Source organism: Homo sapiens, chromosome 17 (genome assembly GCF_000001405.40).
Source record: "Homo sapiens chromosome 17, GRCh38.p14 Primary Assembly".
NCBI lineage: Eukaryota > Metazoa > Chordata > Mammalia > Primates > Hominidae > Homo > Homo sapiens.
The window spans coordinates 34,849,325-34,876,427 of NC_000017.11; the positions used below are offsets into that span (position 1 = coordinate 34,849,325).

Below are 27,103 nucleotides of genomic sequence, written 5' to 3' on the forward strand. Positions count from 1 at the left end.
CCTCTCCGGGCTTCCTGCTTTGTGGTAGCCCCCTCACTACACGCTGTCCCCAAGACTACCCTCCCAGCCTCGTTTTGATCTCGGGAGGACAAATAAACCTTAAATTGAATCCCCTTTTTGTGAAGTTACCCAGAATTGGTTTTCATTGCTGAAAGACAAATACCCCAACCAATACATAAGTCATTCCCGCCCCCTGGACACAGACATCCCCTTTCTTTAATGTGGGCTCTTGCCCTGCTGCCCATCCTTGGCTTTTTCCTTGCCCCTGCCCCCGTTTTTCATTATCAGCTAATTCCCTCTGGTCCCTCTTTTAAGGAAGAAAAAGGAGGGGGTAAATTCGGGATGAACAAAACTATTCAGATGTATAACCTTCAAGGTAGCTCCCATCCCTGCACCCCCACAACAACAACAACAACAACAAACTCATAGCCAACCAAACTGCATTGCTTTGAATTAGATTGTGTTTGTTGAGTGGCCCTTCCTGGAGCTGAGTGCCAGGCACTGTGCTAGGCACATGGGATGCCAATGAATAAAGACGAGCCTTCCCTGGAGCAGCTCACAGTCTAGCCTTCCCAAACTCATCAAAATCAAAGCCACTCGGCAGTAATAGCGTCCCCATGTTTTATGAGATTTTGCATTATGTGAATCTGACACTATGATATAAAGATATTAATAAAGTCTCACTTTATATTCAAAATTTGAAATAATATGTATCCCAAACATTTGCTTTTAAGCATGAAGAATGTTGAAGCTGGCAGGCCAGTGAATTGTAAACTTACTGTCTGCATGCTTACCGCACAGCAATGCCACTTTAACTGATAAACAGAAACACCTACCAACCTTTGTCAGGATTTGTTCTAAATTATGCAAGTTTCTAAATTACACAAGACCTTCTGGAGCATGTGTCTCAGACATGATGCAACGGGTCTGGTGTTCGGAGTTCTGGCTCTGGAATCAGAGTGCTGGGATTTCACTCCTGACTCCATCCACCGTGATCTTGGGCAAGGCATGGAGCCTTTCTGTGCCTCAGTTTCCACATATCTATGATCAAGATAATGGTGCTGATCTCTAGGGGGCTTTTGAAGATTAAATGAGTTCTTCCATGCAATCTGCTCAGAACAGCACCTGCAGCACTGCAGCAAGCGGGGGCTTGCAGCATCTCGCTGAGCTGTGGGTCGGCAGGAAGGGGACATCTGCTCATGCACTGTGGGGAACCTAAACCGCCATCCAGAGCTGGAGCACGTACAGCATTGCTTTGCATGTCCCTGGACCCTGAGGCCTAGTCAGTCGCACAGCTGCTGGAGACCCTCTTCACAAAGGCAGGCCTCCTCCTACTCCAGCGACGGCATTGCCCTTCCACGTGCGAGGGCATCAACCAGACACTTGACCCTGACGGTCTCTGTGCTCTCATTTCAGAGAATGTTCATAGACGCTCCAGACTCTTAAAGCTGACCCAGCCACATCTTCATCCAGAGTAGAAAACAGAGTTGGTGCCTCGGTGTCGCCAAACAAAGCCCCTGCTCACCACCCCAGTGTTCCAGAAGCCTATCTCTCCAAAATGCTCCATCACAATTCACTTTTTTAAGAGCCAATCTAATATGATAGATACCACCCTGGAGCTTACCCTGGGAAAGCACAAAGGGAAGCCCACTTAACGCAGCTTGGGGGTCTGGGGAGGATTTCCCAGAGGGAGAAGGAGTCACTGCACTTCACTTCCCAAAGAGCACCAAGGAGCCAGGTGATAGGGGGAGAGGTGGGGAGGGCAGCTGACCCAGCATGGGGAATAGGGGGAGGGGCGGGGAGGGCAGCTGACCCAACATGGGGAATAGGGGGAGGGGCGGGGAGGGCAGCTGACCCAGCATGGGGAATAGCTTGCACAAAGGTGTGGAAAAGAGAGAACTTGGCACATTCCAGGAATTGCCAGTAGCTCCATATAGAGTGGAAAGAGTGTGAACCAAGATCTAACTGACTCACTGCCAAATAACATGGTTTCTGGGGCACATGAGTGAGGCCCAGAGATACCCTCTAGGAGGTATTCATCATCTTCTTTGCACTGTGGCTGTCTTTGGTGAGCACACAGGATCCTTCTCAGAATTATGCCTTTAAAAGCATAAAATAAAATATATAGGATCAAAGTATCATCAAAATACTTTTTAAATGCAATCTGTAGTAACATATGTGCCTTTTTATCAATGTATTATATGACAAGATCTTGTGGTAGGAAGTAATTGATGAGCAAAAATTATTTTTCAAAGTATTAAAACATCTGTAATATAGTATGAAAACATCTATGATTCCTATTAGTGACAAATCCAAGGTGTGGCTAATTCTGCCATGGTTTGTTACCTGCTTTCATAATGAAAGGAAATGCTCAATTTCAGTTAAAGTTTAGTGAAAAGGAAGATGCAACTTTTTCCCATCCAAGGTCATGGACCCTCTGACTTTTCCCACACTCTCCTGCTTTACACAAAGACCCAGCTTTGTGCCTACAGCCCAGTGGTTAAGAGCATCCAAGCCAGACCTGTTTGCTCAGTTACTGCTGCAGTACTTGGGGCAAGACACTCAGCCTTCCAGTGCCTCTGTTTCTTCATAACTGTGAAGACCAAATGAGTTAATACACACAAAGCAGTTAGAATAATGCCTGCCACATAGTAGGTGCTCACTAAAGAAGGACAAGCTGTTTTCTTTCTTATTCTCAGCCCCAAATACAATGGAGAGAGAAGCCCACAGATGTGGGGCATTATTTACTAACCAGAGTCGTGCTAATAAGCTCACAAAGCACAATTAGCAGTCATTTCAATTCTGAGGTTTGCTTGACTATAAAAGCTTCACATTTCTTCCTCCCTGATTTCTCTGCTAATTACAACTGCCGCCGTCCATCGCAGCTGCCACACAACATGGGTGCTGACTGCCTCTAACGTAGTTGTTAAGGCGGCATAATGGGGCACAATGACTAATTGGCCATCATGCCCAGGATGAATGCGTCAGACAACAGCGGCTGGCCAGTTCCTGGCCTTGGGACCCCGAGCTGCACAGCCCCAGCACTCTCCCAGTGCACCCCTCCTCCACCTTCCCAAGCTGCCTGATGGGACCAGCCAATGAAAGGGTGCAGGGACAGGTGTGCAGAACTGGGAGGCTCTGGGGGCCCTCCCTGAGGCCAGCCCTGCCCCTAACTTGCTGTGTGACCATGAGTTAGCCACTGAGTGTCTCTGGGCTGCACTTTAATCATCTATAAAATGGAGGTAGGAGGAAGTAGGTCTAGATGCTTCCTACGGTCCTTCCAGCTCCCACTTACTCTACTTTGATTATTCCATGGGAGGTTCCCCTTCAAGTGCCTGCACAGCCACTCCCCAGCCACTAGGGCATCTCCACCTGCCTGAGGGTAAGAAAGGGCAGGTGGAGTTCAGCAGAAACAGCCATGCTCACCAAATATTCCATCTGGAACCCCACACTTCCCAGCCACCTTGCAGTTAGCTGAGGTCACGTGACAGCTCTGACCAATGGGCTGTGGGCAGAAGCAACAAGCACCATTTCCGGGCTGAAGCATGGAGAAGCAGAGAAGCATGTGATCTCCCCGCAGTCTCTTCCGGTCTTGCGACCCAGAAGGCCTTGTGGTGACATGGTGGAACTGAGCTGAGCTGGAAGCAGCCCAGGTTGCCAAATTGTCACTTGGAAGACACCCCTGGCAACCTTTGTAGAGGTACGAAAAGAACCTTATGCCATTAACATTTTCAGGCTATTGTCACCATGGCATAACCTGACCTATCTTGTCTAAATAGCTATTTTCCCAAAAGGACTCAAATAATGGGTGTTTTATATAAAGGATTTAGGAGGCAACTGCTTCATAGTGCAACTAAGTAAAGAGATCCATTAGAGCAAAAGAATGTGAACTTTCTAACAATGAGGCAGGATCAACAATGAAATGAGCAGTCATCCCAAGGCCCCCTCACTGTACTCCCCATAACTCTTCAAGTGAGAAGCTTAAAACCAAGTTTAATGAACCAGATATATATAAGAAGTCCGAAGGGCTGGTGACCAAGGTAGAGAATGAGATACGGGGTGTTCTCTGGCACCCAGGGGGGAATTTTCGCCTGGTGGTGAAAATGGGTCCAGTGAAAGAAGATTCATGGGGTAAATTTCAGGATTGAGAAGGAAATGTTTGGGGGTGGGTTTTACTCTAGGATTCCATCTATCAAGAGGATGTTAATGAAGAATTGAGCTCAATTTGGTTTTTCTCTTTCCCAGCAGCAAAATTTCACCCAAGGGGATCTCCCATTCCTCTTTCCTGGAAGAGACTCCAGGGTAAGCAAAAAATAGATCCCATCTCACCTCTACAGGGTGTGAGAATCCTACAGAACTCTTGGTGCATTTTGTAAAACCACAAACTTCTTGAGTTTGGAAAGAATTCTGGAGTCTTTCAGTCCTAAGTCACAGACCCCAGCATTGATTATGGAGTCTACAGCAGCACAGAATTCCAGAGTCACAGAAATCAAAGCTCCAGGACAGTCCTGGAAAGAAACAGGAGAGCGTGGCCACCCATCTGCCCAGCCACCAAGGCCTAACCCACCAGCGGGGCTATATTGGCTTCTTCTTGGGGACGCCCAGTACAGCAGGCCCCCTGGTCCTCCCTCCCCAGGCCTGTGTCTCACGTCCCCACAGTGGGATTGCAAGCAAGCTGTCCCCATGCAGCAGATAAATAAATAAATAAATAAAGAGCATGACTTTGTGTTTGAAGGACGAATGCCAAGTTTCCTCTCTGGGGCCCTCTCGCAAACCTCCATATATCACCTTCACATGACCAGGCTGGCAGGCCTGCCACCCCCAGCTCTGCTTGGCTGTGATAAACATAGAAGACAATGCATTGCCTACACCCTCAGGCCCTGAAATGAGGGAAGGGGTGGAAAAATCCATCGAAGCCATTCTAGATTTATGTTTGAAACATTCCAGATTTATGTTTTCCTTTGTCAGGGGAGAAAACAAGCAGATATTCCTAAAGGTGTACCTTATAAGCCAGCGCACGTGTGAAGGGGCATCGTGCTGTTTTTGGCAACCACGCTGAGTTCAGTTTTTGCACCAGGACCTGGACGTGCACACTGACAGGCCCTCATCCCATCACCTTTGGCTTCGCTGCATCCTTCCTTGCTTTGAATCACTTCCTCGACTCCTTCTCCAGGAATACTTCCCAGATTAGACTCATCTATTTCCCAGCCCTTCACCTCAAGCTCTGGGACTCTTCTCAGCCCCCAATGAGTATAGGTCATTCCATAATTGTTTGTTTCTTTTCATTCCATGAGTTCCTAGAGAATGTTGGCTGCCTTTCCCGCCCTCAGACCAGGAACTCCCCCAGGGAAGGGACATGCCTCCCATCAATCCAGGTACTCCTACGGACAGAATGACTGCCCTTCCACACTATCCTTTTGGTAGGTTAATTCACCCTGTATTAAAAAGAATGTGACTATACCGTCTAAACGGGTATTCCAAACAAGGAGAGACACTTGTGGAGCTTGAAAGTGCATGCAAAATGCTTGTCTATACTTACTGTTTTTTGGAAAGAGGACTATCGCTTTCAAGTGATTCCTAAATAGATCTGTTGAGAGCCAAAGTGAGACCTTAGGAAGCACCCAGCACTGAAAAGACTGTGGTGCTGCCCTACTAGCACCCACATAGGTAATTCAAGACAAAACGGCACTGAGCTGTGCAATGCCAAGCGCCCATGATGCCTAAGTTCATCAGAGCTAAACAGCTCATAATTTTGCTAATATTCTTAGTGCATGCTAAGTCCCCTTAGCATATAGGTGACTCCTGCCCTGGATTTGCCATGTAGAAAAGGTGAAAAAGCACAGTTTCTGGGGGAGGTTGAGAGCAAAGCTGGTGACTCCCAGGATGGAGATGGAGAACAGAACACGTCCCTCCCAGCCTCGGAGGTAGGCAAACAGGCAGGATATTAGTCTATATCTGCCACTGGAAACCTCTGTTTCCCCAATCGGGGGAGGAGCTAAGGAGGTGGAGTCATTTCTATGTTTTCCAAACTGGGATCAGACACAGAATGAAACTATAATATCAGCTGGGCTTTGCTGGGCTTGGAAACCACTGAGTTCTTACCTCCCCAAATATCCACGCCTACCCCTTCCCTGCCCTCCCTCTCTGAACCCAGGAAAGCATCTGAAATGCTCCAGTGAAGAAAGGACTTGAAGACCCTCATGAAATCCTCCACTGTCTTCAAAAAGCCATCAGCCCTGAATCTGGTCATCCTCATACACCCCAAACCCACTCTGCCATGGCCAAACCAAACACTCTACGCACAGCCCTGGAAGCCAAATCACCCAAGCCAAAGGATCAAGGTGAAGGCTGAGACCCTGCTTCTCAACTCTCTCAGGACTCAGAGACCATCAGGAGATGCACAGTGGATGTTGGATAATGTCTGGGGCTCCAGATTAGGAATTGGGAAAACCAGTTCCAGTTTCTGGCTCAGCCACTGCTGTGCTACTAGAAATTCTATCAACTGAAAATTACAATAGCACTTGACCCCCACACCCTGCCAACAACCCCAACCCCAGGAGAGCCTCAGAACTGAGGCCAGCCTCTGAACAGCAGCACCAATGGAGGGTTCAGAAAAGGATGAATGGCAAAGTGAGAAAGGGGAGCTGAAGAGAATAAAAACACAACCTAAGCCTGGAAGTGGGGCTGGGGCGGGGCGGGCAACAGGGCAATTGCCAACAGGTAGGAGGTGGAGAGGAGGTCGTCCTGCATACATGGGGGATGGGGAAGGTAATCTCTATCCTGTACCCCCAGCACCCTGAGAATTAAAACCACAATCCTGACCCATGCACACAACAGAACACTGCGGGGCCATAAACTACAATGTTGGGAGGATATTTATTGACGTGGAAAAATGCTTACATATATTTCAAGTGAAAAGGCAGGTTGCAAAATAATATGTACAGTATGATGCCATTCTTGTAAGGGGAAAAATATCTTTATACAAGTCTGGAAATATATACACCCAAAATTCCAACAGTGCTTATCTCCAGGTGGTAGATTGTGCATTTTTATCATCTTTACACTTACCTATATTTTCTAATTCTTTTATAATAATAGGCATTATCTGTGTAATTGGTTAAGGCTTTCTTAAAATAAGTAAATACATCAATAATTTTTGCAGGGTAGTATGGGCAGGAAAAGAACAGCCAGCCACCTGGATCCAGGGGGTGGGGAAAATGGGAGGTGGGAGGAAGGACTCACCTAGGAGGGGGGTGGGGGAGGACGGAGGGTGGGAGGATTCACCCAGGATGGGGGTTAGGGGAGGGTAGAGGGTGAGAGGACTCAGCCAGGAGGGGTTGGAGAGGATGGAGGGTGGGAGGACTCACCTAGGAGGAGGGTGGGGAGGATGGAGGATGGGAGGACTCACCCAGGAGGGGTTGGAGAGGATGGAGAGTGGGAGGATTCACCTAGGAAGGGGGTGCGGAGGATGGAGGGTGGAAGGACTCAGGATGGGGGTGCGGAGGATGGAGGGTGGAAGGACTCACTTAGGATGGGGGTGGGGAGGATGGAGGGTGGGAGGACTTACCCAAGATGGGGTGGGGGGAGGATGGAGGATGGGAGGACTCTCTTAGGATGGGAGTAGAGGAGGATGGAGAGTGGAAGGGCTCACCCAGGAGAAGGTGGGGGGAGGATGGAAGGTGGAAGGACTCACTTAGGATGGGTGGAGGGGAGGATGGAAGGTGAAAGGACTCACTTAAGATGGAGGTAGGGAAGGATGGAGGATAGGAGGACTCACTTAGGAGGGGGGTGGGGAGGAACGAGGGTGGAAGGACTCACCCAGGAGAAGGTGGATGGAGGGTGGAAGGACTCACTTAGGATGGAGGTGGGAGAGGATGCAGGGTGGGAGGACTCACCCAGGATGGAGGTAAAGTAGGAAGGAAGAAGATGCCTCCCTAATAGGACAAAGGCCTCGTTACAAAGACTAGATTGTGAGGCCCTGCCTCTTCCAACTTCTTTCCCTTCCCAAATCTCCACAGAGCCCAGAGGTCCTCCCACTCCTCAGAGGAGAGAAGTCTAGTCTGGAAGCCCACAGCTGCCCCATATAGGGCAGAGGCAAGGGATGCAGCAGCAGGAAATCCCAAGGAGAGATGCGGGCTTGTCAGGCTAAGCCTGGCGCATGTGAGACGAAGGCAGGCATCTGAGACAGTAGTGAGCTTGGGGAGGCTCCTGAGGAGGGATATCCCATAACGACCCCTCCAGGGCAGGCAGGTGGCCCAGGGTGACAGGAGAGGCAGCTTGGAGGGCCCTGAGAAGCAAATGACCCAGCAGTTAATCCAGGCCCCATTGGTTGGCAACTTTAGGGCTGGCTGGGCCGGGAGCTCTGTGGAGCTCTTGGCCTGGTGGGAAGAGGCAGGCAGGGAAGGTGAATAGCACTTCCCAGCCTTCTCCGATGGCAAGATAGGAAAGGCTGAGCAGACCCCGGTGGTCACTGCCTGTGTCACTTGGGTGTTTGTTATTCTCTTTGTTCCTGTCTATTTCCCCTCTGTCATTAGCAGTTGAAACCCTTAAAATGGCCAGGAGCCTTCTTGACTGGATAATAATCAGAGCTCCTAAAACATCCATGGACTGCCTTTATAGGTGGTGAGCTTCCTGTCCCCGGAGATATTCACACAGAAACTGGGCCACTATCCTGGTCAGCTCTCAAGGGTTATTGAGTCAGAAAGAGAGTCACACCTCTGAGGTCCATCCCATTCCTGAGATCCTCTGAGTCCATGAGAGTGCGTTTTAGGGGCAATGGCTGGGAAGAAGGCACCTGGCCTAAAAATTGAAATTGGTGAAGGCAGGCATTCCCCATCCTGTCCCCAGTCCTCATAGACCAGCATTTGAAGGACAAATGCATCTGCCTGCAGGACTGGCCCAGCAAGGACTCTGGTTCTGGAAGAGGTGCCTTTGCCCTGTATGACCACCTGCTTGGGCAGAAGTGGGGGTTTCTGGTCAGCCTTGCTAGATATCTGTACCAAGCAGGTTACATGCCTGGTATAAAGAGAAGCAGAAGCATTTCAGCTCCAGGTCATCTGGGGCAGTTTACAAGGTCACAGGGTTCCTTACACACTGAAATACTGGACCCATCATATTCATCTTTTAGCGAACACATCAATGTGAGAACACAAACCTTCCACAAGCATCCAGCAGCATGCGGAATCAGGGCAAACATCAGTATCATCGTCGTTCATAGAGGGGAATCAACAAACATAAAAAGAAAAAAGCTATGAAAACTTGCATTGGTCGTGCAAAACCTACAATTAGTAGTCAAACTGGATATTTCCCATTTCCCCCAAATGCAGCCTGGTAACCACTGTATTTGTTGTTAAATGGAGAGGATTTCTAGAAAAGCATACTTGGGCTTGCTCTAAGGGAGAGTTTCCCAGTAATGAGGGCTGCTGGACAGTGGGACCTGTTGCTCAGGGACGCTGTGCACTCCCTGTACCTGGAATGCTCGAGTGGAGACCAGCTGTGATGGAGGGCCGGCTGGGTCTCCTCCACTCCCCTCTCAGATCCACTCTGTCTTCACCCTGTTCCTGCCCAAGGAAGCTGACCAGCCTGGACCCCATCACAGGCCCTGACTCCTTCTGACTTCTGTCGGTCTGACCAGTGGGGAGCCATGGAAGGGGACCGAAGAGAAGAGAGGTGAACATTTCCCAGGCTGCTTCTCTGCAGGGCTTCCTTCCATAGAAGGTCACAGCTCCTCTCTGACCAGACTGCATCACACAGTCCCTGTGACATCTGGCTTGTGGTCATCACTCTCTGCTCTCACCAATCGCTGCCTAAGGAGGGTCACAGCCAGGTAATACTTGTTACTAACCCCAAGGGACTACACTAATCTGTGTGCTTTCTCTATACCCTGCCCACACCTTAATAAATTGTCACTGTACTGAAAACCCCCATGGAATTATCCTAATGTGAGTGTGCCATCTGTTTCCTGCCAAGATCCTGACTAATACACAGGATCCCTAATCAGACAAAAAAAGTAAACGATACAGTCTCTCTTCATTGTGCAGTTAAGTCAGTAGTTCCAGGAAATGTGAGTAAGATTCACTTGGTTGTCCGCTTCATTTCATTACGGTACTAAACTTGATGTTATCAGTTGTGGCTTGTGGCTCACAACTTCCCAAACCATTGCTCCCTATGCCCACTTGTTCTACAGATGGAGAAACTGAGTCCTAGAACCTTACCCAAGATCACAAGCAAACACAGAAGGCCAGGAACTCCAGGACCCCTCCCCAGGTGCCTTCTCCGAGCAGAGCAAGCCAAGGGGGCTCCGCCACCCTTCCCTGTCCCCCTCCCACAACTGAGACTGCCGCCTCTTCTCTCCCCAGTCCCCTTCCCTCCCCAGTCCCTGGTGGGGGAGGCCCTTGGGGAAAATGATGAGTTTTTTATAGCATTTCGTGGTAAGCACTTAATAACTCTCCAGGCTATAGATCTGTGCCTCGCATGGGCTGGGGATAATTCACAGTAAAATATGACTTTCCATTTATCACACTGACGTGTAATAAATACTTCTCAGTGAAGCTTGGGCTCAAAAGGGGGGTAGGGTGAGCAACCATCAGATGAGGCTCTGTGACTGAGTGTTGGGGTTCAGGCTCACGGCAGGCACACTCAGGGCCTGAGCAAACCTGAGCCTGAAGCTAGCAGAACCCTGGGTCAAGGGGCACTTCCAATGTAATGTGCCAAGGCTGCCCCTCAGTTCTCCACCAGCTTTGCCACCATTTCTGAGAAATCAAGTCCCCCGCTCCTGCAGCCAAACTCCTTGAGGACAGTGGGGCCTGTGTCCAAAAAGTCCAGGCAAATTTCCTCTTCCTCCCGTTCCCATCTGGCTCCCTCTGACTGGTCTCAAGGAGCTTCCTATTCCCCCAACCTTTCCAGCCCCACGGACACTGTGCTAATCATCGGACATTTGGGTTGTTTTCAAACTTTCTGCATATCCAATAACCACAACAGCTCCTATTCATTCAGCATTTGCCATGAATCAGAAACATTTGCTCAGTTAATTCTCAAAACCACCCAAGGCATTATCGCCATCCCCAGCTCTCAAGAGGGGGCACTGACACTCAGTGGGTTGAGTGACTTGCCTACAATCATATTGTGGTGATATGATGGGGTCAGACTCAAACCAACTACAAGACAGCCAGATTTGGATTAAGACTGATGCCACTGTCTTAATGACTATGTGTCTTAGGTCAGGCTCTCCCAGATACAGATCCTGAGACAGGATTTGAGTACAAGAAGTTTATTTATGAGGTGACTCCAGGAAGCACCAGAGGGAGAGGAGGGCTATGAGACAGGGAAGAGAAGGAAGTCAATAACCAGGTCAGTGACCAGGTTTCTATGGAGGACAACTGAGGAACTCAGGGACAGGAGAGAGCAGACTTCAGGGTTATCCACACAACAAGAAAGGAAGCTGGGGTACACAACCTCCAGCTCCTGTCAGTCAGGAGCAGAGGGCATGAGATGGCTGAGCAGGTTCCAGTAGCCAGAAAGGCCTTAGGGCAAAGAGTCTCAGGTTGCAAGCTGGCAGTTGGCAACCATATGGTCCTCATGCATGGAGATAGGGAGTGCCAAGGGGACATGGGCAAGGCACTGGTAGCATCTGCCTCTCTGCTCGGACCTCACCAGACTGCTGTTGTCACCTGCCTGGAATATGCTGTGGTCTCCTAGATGAGACCTGTCTTGGTCTTGCCCCATGTGGTACATCCTCCAGCTCCAAATAGGAAACACATTCCACTTTAGCCCACACAGCAAAGAATAGACTGGGAAAGTGCCCCCTCCACCAGGAAAGACACCTTACTGAAGCCTGCAGGTGCATCCCTGACCACACAAAGGCAGAGACCACCAGGCCTAGATTCTCTCTGAATCCTCACCCTGGGCCCAAGGAGTGTCTCATGCACAGTAAGTACTCAGTGACTCTTGCTGCATTTGAAATAAAACTCCCCAGGTACACTTTGTACTGAGGGGAGTGCTTCTTCCCAAGGAGCACCCTGCTCTATGGCCCCACCTTGCAGGGACAAGGGTGCTGAGTGTTAGGTGCTGGCCCAATCCCTTCAGCGTCTGAGCCTGCCCCTGTGAGCTCCCAGGGAGTGGAGAACCCTCACAACGCAGAGGACCTGAGTGGTGGGCAGTCTTATCTAGAAGAACTGGTGGAGGACAGGGACAATGGCAGGAGTGGCAAGAGCACTGTGCTGGGGGTTGGGAGGCCAGGGTGCTTGTCCCAGCCAAGCCACTTGCCCACAGTGTGAAGACTCAAGGGGTCTGTTTGCAATGAGCACTTAGGGATGAGGAGCATGTCCCACATGAAGAGCACTGCACATGGGATGGAGGGAAGAGTTTTGACCCCACAGTCCAATTCTGCAGTTAACTTAGAAGACGTGGCCACTTGGTCATGGTCCCCTCTACTTACACCTTCTTCATTAGGAATAATTACACTGTAATAATTCTAAGAAAATCCATATAGTATAATAACACTCAAGGCATCCTATATGACATGAAGGTCCCCTCCTCCAAGAAGCCTTCCCCGATATCCCCTCTCTACCACTTCTAATGAAGAATGGACCATGCCCTCCTCAGTAGCTTGCTCTGTCCACTGTATGCTGCCACCCCAGCCCCCAGTGTGTGGTTGCCTCCCCTAGTTAACTGTGAGATCCCTGGAGACTGAGTCTTAATCTTGTCTTATCATGTGCACATGCAGGCATATGCATGCATACACACACACTACCCAGAGCTGAGCCCGGAGCGTGACTCAGAATCAGGCTCACTACATGCTGGTCAAATGCATGTCTAAGTGATTGAATTAATGAATTGATTAATAAGTGGTGTCATAATCCTGACTCGAGAAATCCTTTGGACCAGCACCTACACAAGGTTGCTGAACAAAAGCAGATAAACTCAGCTAAGTAAAGTCCTCAGCCCAGCGACTGACCCACTTGTTTCTCTCTTCCCCCTTAGTGGCCTGATGAGCACAGCTACTTCCTACCATCTTGATCCAAAGACCCTGTACAGAGCTGATGCTCCCCTAAGCCCACGAAAGAAGAGACTTTGCAGGGTTGGGATGAATCCCTAGAAGAAGAGGCACATCCTCCTTCCCCCAAAACTCTTGAGACAAAGGAAATCTCCACTCACCCTCCTGTAGTTACCTACACCAGGGGTCCCCAAGCCCCAGGCCACAGACCAGTACCAGTCTGTTGCCTGTTAGGAACCAGGTCGCACACCAGGAGGTGAGCTGCTGGCAAGAGAGCAAAGAGTTTTTATCAACAGCCGCTCCACATGGCTCGAATTACTGCCTGAGCTCCGCCTCTTGTCAGATGAGCGGTGGCATTAGATTCTCATAGGAGTGTGGACCCTGTTGTGAACTGTGCATGTGAGGGATCTAGGTTGCAGTCTCCTTATGAGAATCTAATGCCTGATGATCTGTCACTGTCTCCCATCACCCCCAGAGGGGACCATCTAGTTGCAGGAAAACAAGTGCAGGACTCCCACTGATTCTACACTATGGTGAGTTGTGTAATTATTTCATTATCTATTACAATGTAATAATAATAGAAATAAAGTGCACAATAAATGTAATGGGCTCGAATCATCCTAAAACCATCCCCACCCCCACCCCAGTCCATGGAAAAATTATCTTCCTCAAAACCAGTCTCTGGTGCCAAAGAGGTTAGGGACTGCTTCTCTATACTCTCCCTCCCTGCCCGGCACCCAGGTCAGGAAATGGACCAGGTGAACCCCATCAGCAACATTATTCAACTCCATGATTGAGAAATTCTCTCAGGTCCTGAGTGAGCTCCACAACTCGCCATTCTTAGAGGGCAGGGTGTATGTGAACCCATTTCTCAGAAGGTGAAGCTGAAGCTCCAAGAGGGACAATAGCTCTCCAAAAGCCACTCAGCAGGTGGATGGGAGAGTGGGAACCTGGGTTCCCTAACACAGCCAGATAAGATGGGAGCATCTACGCCCAAATGTGAACAGGGATTTGCCTCCTGCAGCCAGAGGTGCTGCCCAACCCCTGCCTCCCACTCCAGATTTGAAGCAAAGAGCAATAAACAGTTTGTGGCATTTCTTGCCTGTCGGAGTGTATTTCTAGCTTACAGAGGATACATGGGTTTCTGAATAATTAAGTACGATGCTTGGCATCTAGGGCCCAAGACTCCAAAAACACAAAGAACTTGAGGCAGAAAATTCCCATCAGCAACCAAGTCAGAGAGAGTCCGTGACATTTGCTCCTCCCATCTGAGGACCAGGCAGACCTGGGCTCCACTTGGGAGCAAGAACCAGTCTGGAAGGGCCTTCCAAGATGATCTGGGCCCAGCACCTCATTTCTAAACAAGAGAACAGAGGGCCAGAGAGGAGATTCACCAAGGGTCACTGAGTCTCAAGGGTGAGTCTGAAGCCCTGGAACAATGGCGAAGGTTCCAGACATTGACCCAAATACCAAGGTGGATCCACTCTACTTCTTTCCAGCAGCGTTGCCATGGGCAAGTCACTTTATTCCCCTGAATCTCAGCTTTTCCCTTCTGTCAAATGGGAACAATAAAACCTTACACATGTTAATAACCCCATCTATTCTACAGATGCGGGGGGGAAAAGGATGATGAATGTGAAAGTTATTGGTGAATTTTAGGTAGATTTCCAAGGTGAGAAGCTAGGTCCTCTTCCTCTGGGGCCCACTATCATGCTCTCTTTTCTCTCTCCTCTGCCTTCCCCTCCTCTTCTTCCTTCTCATCTTCCTCTCACCCCTGCTGCCTCCAAGAAAGGACTGAAGGACACGTTCAAGAAGCAGCAGAAAAACAAGGTTAAATTAGAATTAAACAAAGTGCCAACTTTAGAGGAGCAACAGAACTCCACAGAGAGGCGCAGCTGGTAACACAGCCTACTGGGGAAAAACACAGGATTAAAGGTCAACAGACTTAAAGTTGGTCGCATCTCAGGACAGCGAATAAACATCATCACTAGCATTGACTCACTGCTAACTATGTCCCAGCACCATGCTGAGCTCCTTACATACTTTGTCACATTCAGTACTTACAACAATCCTATGAAATAAGGTAAAGTCTTCATTTTATAGAATGAGAAAACTGAGGCTGAGAGAGGTTAAGTAACTTAGCAAAGTCACACAGCTAGTAAGTGGTGGAGCCAGGATTCAAACCAAGAGGTCTGCCTCCAAGCCTGCACGCTGAAGCCCTCTACCTGCCTGTCTCCTTAGAGCATTACAGGAGGTCTCTCTGGACCTCAGGGTCTCCATGCAGCTCAGAGACAGCAGAGGGGCCTGTGTGAGTATCCAAAGGTATAATTTACTAGAGATGGTTAAAAAAAACAAAACAAAAAAAAAGAAAGAACCAAAAAATTCCTCCCATCTCTGCCCCTGTTGAGATACAGAAAAGGGCAAGGAAAGAAGAGGAAGAAATAAGTTGAGTAACTTTTGTTTTAGCCTTTCAGCTGCATAAATCATCCCGGGGCCAGAGAACTGAAATAATTCAGAGGGAAGATGAGCACGCATTTATCACGCCCTGCACATACTAAGTGTCCCCTATTGAAGTCCAGTCTCACCACCGGAGCTAGGATACACACTGTCCCACCACCTTCACCTTTGCTCTGGGAATAAGGCCTCCAGTCCAGAGGGCTTCTTTTTCTTCCCCAGACCCAAAACTCGCTGATAGACCCCCCAGAAAAATGGTAGTTAGATAGGAATTTCAGGGGCTAAGGCAGGACTCCCCTCGACTAGGGACTCAAGTCACAAAGGCCACCAGACCAGCTTCCCACAGCCTCTATTCCCACCCTCCATCCTCCCTCTGCGATCACTCCACTCTGGAGGTGGGGCTGCCTGGAAAGACCTCAGGAAGACAGAGAATCCAGCTCTCACTCAGAGGAGCCAGGTGGGAATGGCCTTAGCAATGTCCTCCTCCAACAACCCCATTTTACACAGAGACACTGAGCCCCAAAGCATGCAAAGCCTATCAGAGGTCCCAGGGCTCATTGGGAGCAAAGCCCAGAGGCTCCTGATCGAGTGCTCTCCTCTTTCACTAACCATCCCCCAGCCTCCAGTCATGGCTATGTCATTGTCCACCAGACCCTGCACTGTGTATGTGAGGCTGAGGTGCTACAGGGCCCACCAGATCCCTGCGGCTCCTCCACCCTGGGGCTGAACTGGGAAGGTGGAGAGAGGCAGCCTGGTGCAAAGGAACCCATCCAGAGTTTCCACGCCAGGCAGGCCTGGCTTCAAATCCCAGCTTGGCCATTGTATTCATTGTCCATTGCTGTGTAATCATTATTCCCAAAATTTAGCAGCTTAAAACAATACATCTATTATCTCACAGTGTCTGAGGGTCAAGAATTTGGGTGCAACTTAGCTGAGTCCTCTGCAAGCCATGGTTTCTCACAAGGCTGCAATCAAGGGGTTGGCCCAAGGTCTGCAATCTTATTTAATGGTTTGTGTAGGGAAGAATCTACTTCCAAGCTCATTCACATAGCTGTTGGCAGGATTCCGTTTCTTGCAGGCCGTCGCAATGAGGGCCTCCGTTCCTGACCGCATGGGCCTCCCCCTCATGGCAGCTTGCTTCATCAAAGCATGCAAGCCAAGAGGGCAATAAAGAGCCTGCTAGCAACACTGATGTCACAATCTTCTGTAACCTAATCAGAAAAGGGACATCCTACCACCTTTGCGACACTGTTGGTTAGAATCAAGTCACTAGGTCCAGCCCACACTCAGAGACAGGGAATTACTCAAGGGCATAGATACCAAGGGGCAGGAATTCTGGGGTTATTGGGGGACTATCTTATAAGTTTGCCACCCACAGCCATTTCCAGCTTTGTATCCCTGGCCACCTTCCTTAACCTCACTGAGTGTCCGTTTTTCCCTCTGTAACCATGGGGATGAAGACACTGTGTTCAGCATCAGGCATGTAAAAGGTGCTCAAGAAATGGTGGTTATTATGCTTCCAAGTGGTATCAGCAGCCTAGGAGGCTAGGATAGATGTGCTGGGCTTTCGAGCAGCCAGACACACACAGGGAGACAGAAGAACCTACACACTGTGCAGGGACGGAGGATGAGGTTCATGGGCCTCCCCAGTCTAGGGGGAGAAAGATTTGCTTAAGAAGCAGAGAATCATTTGCTTAGCGGGATTCCAGAGGCAGTGTCATAGGTAGCATTTGGGGAATAGAATAAGTGGGGAACTTGAAGATGCTGGCCCAGGAACCCTGAAAGTGAGCCACACAGAGCTCCCCTATACATCACAACTGCAGGAAAAGGCCTGGGACTGCCCCCCTCAGGAACAGGGATTTGAAGTCTCAAGGAGCTGGTCTCCTTCCACAGGGATCAGCTGCTGCGGAGCTGAGTCCAGCACACGCTAGCTGGCTGATCGTGCAGGACATTCCTAGGTCAGATGTTTGCAAGCCAGGTTTGCACCAAGCACTAGATGCTCACACCACCAGCCAGTGCTTGGTGAAAGATGGTACCTATGGAGAGCAAGAACTTTCCTGGAAAGCTCTGCTTCACCCTGTTAAAACAATGATCTGATTAAAACCATAGCCAGATGCTGTAGGCCATGATCCATGGAGAAGGAAAAGAACAGAATCCTTGAGTATCCAAGCTAGTATGACCTTAGAGGACTGCAGATGGGATGTCGAGGATCTGCGAGCCTCCTGAAATTATGTACAAAATTACATGTGTGTGGCTGCACATTTTCCAGAGGGAGAAAACCTGTCCACCACATACAAACAGATTAGGAACAAAAATCCAATTTGGCCCTCCCATTTTACAGAGGAAGAGACTGAGGCCCAGGGAGTACCAAGGACTCTCCCAGGCCATACAGTTGCCTTTCAAGGGAGCTAGAGAGAGAACCCGGGCCTCCAGACTGCAGGCCAGCCCATTCCACCTTTCTTGGGCAGACTTGAAGTCTACCCTTCACTAATAAAGCATTCTCCTAATAAAGCAGCCATGTCTCTGAACAATGTTTAATTATTTTGCAAGAGAATGACTGTAATGGGCCACATGAAACTTAAAGGATTTTTAATAAAATCTCACATGCTCTGAGGGCTCCAGCTCCCTCCATGTGCCCCCCTTTGTTATTTCTCCTGATCCCATGAAGATATAGCATTTGTCACTGTTTCATTAGGAGCCACGGTGCCCCATGTTATTTATGAGTTTGCTATTTATTGAAAATTGTATTTTTGAGGGGGATAAAGGGGGAGCTGAAGTTTATCACAAAGAAGCCTTGGCAAGAAAATTAGTGACATTTCAAAGTATCCAAATCTCTGCTCCTGTAAAGACTGAATGAGTTCACAGCCACCAGATTTCAAAGCATTACTGGAAGTCCTGTTCCAGGTGGGGGGCTGACTAGGGGCTCTTTGATGCCTTGATTGTCCTTAGGAAAAGATGATGGTTTTATAATCTCCTCCTAGATCTGGCCTGCATCCCTTTTTCTTTAAAAAAAAACAAAGTCTGTTTTTATTCAAAGTCATATATGCACAAGGTTAAAAACAGTTTCCTGTTAAAATACTTCTTACTCCCTGTTCTGTCCCCCCTAGACAGCCACATCTAACTTTTTTAAATGTCTTTTCTTATATTTACCTCCATTTTTCTAAATAATATGCTTCTACTGATATTTCTTGATTCATCAATTTTAGACACAATCTATTGACTTACTGCTAGAATAGACAAGGATTTATCTCACTCACACCACCTCCATCCCTCCTGCCATATCTCTATTTTTAGTTCTTCTATTGGTTACTTTTGTGATCTTCCATCCTCTACAGATGCACTTTTTAAAGAGAATTTGTACATTGTACAAAAAGAATATTTCTACCCCCATCCTTCCCTTCACCTCACCTCTCCCACTTCTACCTCCTAATGCTGTCTGTCATCTACACTTCTACTTTTACACTGTAAAAACTGATAATATCTACATCTACTCTGTAACCACAATAGTTCTTTCAGATTGATTCCAAGAGTTGAAAATCACTGAAAAGTATTTCTATTATTGTGCCTAGGTAAAGACTGTTCACTACAGAGCCAAGTAGTGTACTATAATCACAGTTTCATTTCAGATACAAATGTGTATGTGTGTGTTTATACGTTTTGAGTTGTCTTTCTTTATTCTTTAGTCCTAATTGTCTTTGTCACATTTCCAATTTTTTAAAAGTCTTTATAAAGCCCATTCTACCGAGTTCCCCTTTTATTTAGGGACCACCACCACCCCTGCCTGCTGGAGCACTCAGTTCTCTTGCTTCAATCTGGACTGGTTGTTCTTTATGCTTGTGCACAGCTCTTCTGATTTCTATGTATAGCTTTTTGCATTCCCAGTCTTCCCCTATTTTGTTTACTCCCTTACTTATTAAAAGACATCCTCAAGTTGCTTCCTTAAAAAGGATTTATGGGAGACAGTCTATGGGTTCTTGCAATTTGAATAATGGGTTGGTGGGATGTAGAAAGCTTAGGTTGAAAATCATTTCTTTCAGAATGTGAAAGTGTCTGATGTTGTTGATGACAGTCTGGTGCAGGTCTGATTCTTGTTCCTCTGAAAGTGACCTGGCTTCCTTCTTGGAAATCTTTAGAATATTCTCTTCTCCTGTGGCTCTTTTGACTCACAATGATGTGTGAATTGGTGTGGGCTCTTTTCATTTATTGTGTTGGATGCTTAAGGGGCCCTTTATTTCTTATTTTAAGCTGGAACTTACAGGTAGTTTTGTAGCTATTGTAACAAATTTTGTAACATATTATAAACTACACAAATACATATCAAGATATAAACATTTCCAGGACCCCAATGAGTCCCTTTATGTCTCCTCCTAGTTGATAACTTTCCAAGAGTAGCCATTGTTCTGACCTCTATGACCATAGATTAGTTTTTCCTTTTTTGAGTTTCATCTAAATGGACTTTTACAGTATGTATTCTTTTTTTGTTTGACTTCTTTTGCCTAACATTTCTCTGACATTCACCCATATTGTTCCATGTAGAGGTTTTTAGTTCTTTTTCATTACTGCATAATATTTTGTTGTGTGTACAATTTCTTTAAACAAAGTTGATGGACATTTGGAATTGTCCCAAGTTTTTTAAAAACTATGTTTAGGGGGTAAAATTGCAGGCCTCTTGCATACATATGTTATGTTGTGGTGAAGTTTGAGCTTTTTGTGTACCCATCACCCAAATAGTGAACATTGTACCCAATATGTAATTTTTCAACCCTCATCTCCCTCCCATCCTTTCACCTTCTATATTTTATCCAATGTCTGTTATGCCACCCTGTATGTCCACGTGTACCCATTGTTTAGTTCCCCCTTGTAAGTGAGAGCATGCAGTATTTGACTTTCTGTTTCTGAATTATTTCACTTAGTGAAATTGTCCCCAGTTTTGAGCTATTATAAACAGTGCTTCTACAACATTCTTGTACATGTCTTTTGGTGGAAATAAGTATTCATTTCACTTGAGTGTATATCTATAGATAGAATGGTTGGATCACAGGGTAAGCATATATTTAGCTTTTGTAGATCCTGCCAAACAGCTTTTCAAAGTGATTGTACAAACCTAAACTACCACCAACAATGTTTGAGAGTTTCAGTTGCTCCACATTCTTGCCAGTATTTTCAGACCTTTATTTTTGCAATTCTAGTAGGGATGTAATGGTATTTAATTGTGGTTTTAATTAGCATTTCCATGATGACTAATAATATTGAGCACTTTTTAATATGTTTATTGACCACTCTGTATTTCTTTTATTGACTTTCGTTGTAAAGTGCCTATTCAAATCCTTTGTTTATCTTAAAAGTAAAAATTTCTTCCTTTATGAATGAATTTATGTGGTTTCCTTATAGACTGTAGATACAATTCCTTTTTTGGATATATGTGAATAATATGTGTGTGTGTGTGTGTGTGTGTGTGTGTGTGTGTGTATACACATATACCTAAAAAAGGAATTTGATATATATCCTATATATATCAAATTCATAATACATATCAAGATATAAGCATTTCCAGGACCCCAGTGAGTCCCTTCATATCTCCTCCCAGTTGATAACTTTAAAAAAGTAGCCACTTGGGAAATTACCTCATATATATATATGTATATAAAATCAAATATTTTTCCATTTTTGGCTTGCCTTTTCACTATCTTAATATGGTCTCTTACTGAAGAGGAGTTCTTGATTTTAACAGGGTTGGCCGGGTGCGGTGGCTCATGCCTATAATCCCAGCACTTTGGGAGGCTGAGGCGGGTGGATCACTTGAGATCAGGAGTTCAAGACCAGCCTGGCCAACATGGTGAAACCCTGTCCTTACTAAAAATACACAAATTAGCAGGGCATAGTGGCACACGTCTGTAATCTCAGCTACTCAGGAGGCAAAAGAATCGCTTGAACCTGGGAGGCAGAGGTTGCAGTGAGCCAAGATCATGCCACTGCACTCCAGCCTGGGTGACAGGGCAACTCTGTCTCAAAACAAAACAAAACAAAACAAAAATTAATAGGGTCTTATTTAATGATATTTTCTTTTATAATTAATGGGTTTTCTAATTCTGTTTAAGAAGCCTTTGCCCATCTCAAAGACATGAAGCAATTCTTCTGGGGGGTGGGGCAGGTTTCCTTTGGAAACTTTATTGCTTTACTTTTTGCATTTATGTCTATGATCCATCCTGAATTAATTTTTGTGTATAGTATGATATCAGAACTAAGATTCATTTCTTTTTCACATGGATCTCCAATTGGCCCAGTCTTGACAGACCCTTTCAGTGTGTAGATTCAGGTTATTCCACGTAGGCAATTATTTGTATTGTTTTTTAATAATCTTTACCCCTTTGTTTTCTCTGTTTTGGAGTTCCTATTATTCTGATGTTAGAATTCTTGGAATATTCCTCTGGGTCTCTTTTCAACACACACACACATACACACACACACACATATTCTCTCTGTCTCTTTCTCTCTACCCTCTCCACACACACACACACACACACACACATATGCCCTGTGTGAAAACAGGACCCTGAAACTCCCTCTCTGTACTAGATACTACTATGGGGAAATAAAGGAATTGGTGCAGTGTTATTCCCTCATATCCATGACTCCCTCCTGCCATACCCACACTTACCACTGTAGCTGATAAATGAGATGGGGGGAAAATGGCTGGGGGAGAGGGAAGGTGAATGATAAGAAGGACAGGCCCAAGAGCTGTGTCCTGGACCAGAATTGTGGGATAGAGTTAAAACCAATAAAACTAGCATCTTTGCACCAAAGCCTCCCACCTCAACCCCCAGCTCAGCCCTGTGTCTTCTCAATGCCTCCTGGGAGCAAAATAATGTAAAATATCCTTCCAAGTAGCTAATCTGCACTACAAAGAGAAGTTGAGGGGAAAGACTTAGGCTACAGGGAAGGATTCAAATTGAAAATGCTCAGGGGGGCCCAATAATAAAGACAATAATTCAGCTCCTTACTGAGCAAACCCAGAACAAAGAGGAGAAATTGCCGAGCTCCTACCTGAGTGGGATGGAGGGACAGGGAGCAGTGAAACGGACAGGTTGGCAGACAGGACTTGAACCACAAATGCCCCTTTGAGTTTCTCTGGAGAAACTTAGAGGTCTGTAGTTTTAATAAACCCTGTTATGGGGCCAAAACCAAACTTTGCCCTGGCTGCTTAAGGCTCCCAAGTGGAGCTGTAAATATTCCTGCCACAGGGTAAGCTTGACCAGAGTCCTGGATTCAGTGGGAGTCTTCCTGCACCTCCAAGATTTGCCCGTCCAAAGAAAGGAGTGGGCACTAACGTTGGAATCAACAGTTACACGTCAGGAAGTATGCTAGCTACTCTGTTCCTTATTGCATACAATCTCCAATGGCCCAGTGATAATGGTAATAATAAAATAGTGAGCACTTACTGAGAGCTCATTATATACTAGAGGCTGTGCTTTATCTCATTGTCCCTCACAACAAAACTGAGAGGTAGAACCTATTAATAACCCCCACTTTTCCTTGGCAACAGCTTTGTGAAGATACAATTCACATACTGCAGAATTCGCCCAGTGAAGTGCACAATTTGATGGTTTTTATTCTATTCACAGAGTTGTGTGACTTATCGCCACAATTTTAGAACATTTACATCACGCCAAGAAAGAAACTCCTCTCCCCTTTAGTTATCATTTCACCCCAATCCTCTCATCCACCCAGCTCTAGACAACCACAAATCTACTTTCTATCTCAGTAGATTTTCCTATTCTGCACATTTCACGTAAGTGGAATTATACAATATGTGGTCTTTTGCAACTGGCTTCTTTCACTCAGCATTAAGTTTTCAGGGTTCAACCATGTTATAGTATATATTAGTACTTCATGCTTTTTATGGCCAAATAATATTCCATTGTATGGATATACCACATTTTGCTTACCCATTTCATAGCTGATGGACATTTGGGTTGTTTCTATCTTTTGACTATTGTGAATAAATGCTGCTGTGAATGTTTGTGTACACATTTTTGTGTAGATGTATGTTTTCATTATTTTGTGGGTATATTCGTAGGAGCAGAATTGCTGGGTCATATGGAAACTCTGCGTTTAACTTTTGAGGAACTTCCAGACAAAATGGCTCACCACTTTATATTCTCCTATAGTGCATGAGGGTTCCAATTGCTCCACATTCTCCTCAACACTTGTTATTATCTATCTTTTTTATATAGTCATCCCACCAGATATAAAGTGATAAAGTGGTATCTCATTGTGGTTTTGATTTGCATTTCCGTAAGGGGAATGATATTAAGCATCTTTTCATTTGCTTATTGGCCATCTGTGTGCCTTATTTGAAGAAGTGTCTATTAAGATTCTCTGCTCTTTTCTTTCTTCTTTTGAGACAAGGTCTCACTCTGTTGCCCAGGCTGGAGTGCAATAGCACAATATCGGCTCACTTCAACCTCCACCTACCAGGTTCAAGAGATTCTTCTGCCTCAGCCTGCCAAGTGGCTGAGATTACAGGCACGTGCCACTGTGCCTGGCTAATTTTTGTATTTTTAGTAGAGACAGGGTTTCACCATGTTGGCCAAGCTGGTCTTGAACTCCTGACCTCAGGTTATCTGCCTGCCTCGGCCTCCTAAAATGCTGGGATTACAGGTGTCAGCCACTATGCCCAGCCATTTGCCCATTTTTAAATTGAGTTATTTGTCCCTTTATTATTGAGTTGCAAGAGTTCTTTATATATTCTAAATACAAGTTCTTTATCAGATATATGATTTAAAATATTTTCTCCCATTCAGTGGGTTATTTTTTCACTTCCTTGCTAGTATCTTATGAAGCACAAAAGTTTTAATTTTGATGAAGTCCAATGTATCTATTTTTTCTTTTGTTATTTGTAATAACCCCATTTTATATATGAAAAAAGTGAGGCAGAGCAATTTAGCAACTTGCCTGAGAACATATAATAATAATGGACAGAGCCAAGATTCAAACCCAGGTCTGCAGACCCCAAAGCTTCCTTTGAGGGCATGGAGAAGTCCCCATGAGCAAGGACTGTGTTTCCTGTGATCACGACTGAACTTCTCCTTACTAGGAGCCCCAAGCCCTGGGGAAATGTCCACCACTGCCTGTGTGCATGGGGGTCAGGAATGGCCCCCATCAGGCCACAGCAATCAAATGGTGCTACCCTGTCCCAGAGGCAGTACTTTAACCACCGCTCAGAAAGGGCCACAAAGCACAACAAAGAAACTTTCCCTGGAAAGTTCTGTATAGTGTGGCCTAGGGTAGGTGAGCAGGTAAAAGAAATCTCTCCATCTGTGGCCCATCAACTCACCAGAGGCCAAAGGCTCACACAATAAATAATGTTGAGGTATTCTTACAAAGTCCTTCATGCTCCAGTTTAATATTTCCCATACATCACCTCATTTTTCTCAATAAATATTCATTCCTCAATAAATGTGTATCAGGTGCCCATTCAATGCAAAGCAGTAAGCTGAGAAACTGTGGAAGATAAAGTGTTTTTATCATAAGATTACCCTAGGAGAGCAGAGAAACTAATGTCTCTAGCCAAGAGATGAGGAAATGTAGGCACCAGAACATTTCATGACCTGACCAATGTGACAAAACCAGACAGTGGTGATCTAATAGAGCCTAGATCTCTGGCCTATAGATCCAGGCTCTGTCTACACCATGCTGAATGTCCAGTCAATGTAGTCAAAGGGGACCTGGAGCAGAGGACCATCTCAAGGTCATCCTTGCCTCTGTTTTCCCATCTCAGAATGGGACTCATCCATTAGAGAAATATCACTCAAGACCACAAAAGTGGAAGCAAGTGGGTCTCACAGCAGACATTCCTTCTGCCTGTTCTGCTGAGACAAAACGGTAGCTCCCCAGCTTCAGAAAGAAGCCACTGCCAGATGCTGACTCAGCAATCCAGCTTCCTGCCTTGGAAGATCAGGGCCAAAGCAATCTTTTGATTGTTATTATTTTATGACTAATTTTCCAGGCAAATCTTTTATTTGTGCAAAAGCCCATCCAGCCTTGAGCACATTCTTCTTGTCTTTGAATTTTATCTCTCTTTTTAATTAAAAAAAAAACACTCACATAAGGAGACACAAATTAGGTCACCATCAAAGACTGCTCTTCCCAAAGAGCATTTCCACAGATATTAACCCTGGCACTGCCACTTACTCAGGGGATGGCTGTTCACATCGCTTCACCTCTCTAGGCTCAGTGTTTTTGCTCTGTCCACCCCTCACATTCTAAGGTCCTGATTTATTGGCCTGAATCACAAAGACAAAACTCTATATACCTAGGATAGCATGACAGCCAAGTTGCCCAATGACCTTCAATGCAAACCAAAGGCACGCTTCCCCTGTTCTTGAGGATGACAGGCCCATTTGTTGAGCACCTGTAATGTGTCAGAAACCTCATCTTTAATCTTCGATCACCATTCGATCGGCCAAAAGAATTCTTTTTAAATATAAGTCAAAGCATATCATTTATCTGCTCAAAACCCTCCAAGGCTTCCTTTTCACTTGGAGTCAAAACCAAAATCCTAACAATGCCCCACAGAGCCCTACATGACCTGCCATCTTGCCAGCCCTCTCTTCTCCTGCTGACCCCTACTCACTGCACTGCAGCCATGCTGGGATCCTCACCGGACCATGGCACGCCAAGCATGTGCTCACCTGTGGGGCTCTGCTCTGGCTGTTCCCTCTACCTGGGATTCTCTTCCCCCAGACCAGTGGTTCTCAACCAGGGGACAGTGTTGCCCCCAAGGGACATTTGATGTTTTTGGTTGTCGCAACTGGAGAGAGGGTGCTACTGGCACCTAGTGGGTAGAGACCACGGATGCTGCTAAACATCCTAAAATGCACAGGACAGTCCACATCACAAAGAATTATCCAATCAAGAATGTCACTAGTACTAAGGTGGATAAACCTTGACCTAGATGGTCTCCTGGCTCACTTCTTTCAGGTGTCTACTCTGTCCACTTTGTGGAAAATAAAAAGCTGCCTAACTCAGCAGTCCCTGTCTCCTACTGCCTTATTTTTCTCCATAGAACTTAACACCCTCTGACTCCAGTCATTTCTCTTTTCCAGCTACCGTGTAAGCAGGGGCTTTGTTTTGTTTGCTGCCATATTCTCTAGCACCTGAAAGAGATTCTGAACAAATAAATCAATTCTCTCCATTTCATAAGTGGAAACTGAGTCCCCACTTGAGCTAAGCGCCTTGCTCAAGGTCACTGTGGTGGATACTGTGGTATGCTGCCAAGGTCTCCCCCTAAGGGCTGAGGCTCTCACTTTCCCAGCTGCCAGGTCTGCTGACAACTGAGGGCTCACAGCTGAGTCCCTCTTCAGGCATTGCCTTCAGTCAAAAGCTGCCTCACCCAAGCATATGCCCCTTCCCTGGAAAGCCCACCTCCAATGACTGTTCTACAAGAGTTACAAAGGTACAGCCTCCTTTTCCTCAGTCTGGGATAATGTTCAAGTGCTATTCTAGCCCCAGAACTCCCCCAGGGGGTTGGCTGAGGCCTCTGCTGCAACAGCAGCAGAGTGATTCAACTTCTCCCTCCACCCCATCCTGCTTCCCTCACTCCCTTACAGGTATTTTTCCTGAGTGCACACCCCTGTAAACCTTCTGCACACA

The 27,103-nt window shown here is 46.5% G+C and overlaps 1 long non-coding RNA gene across 7 annotated transcripts in view; it reads right to left on the minus strand.

The window, feature by feature from the left end:
• LOC105371742 (uncharacterized) overlaps window positions 1-27,103 on the minus strand; it is a 163,994-nt gene that overhangs the window by 89,921 nt on the left and 46,970 nt on the right. The gene's annotated exons all lie outside the window — the stretch shown is intronic.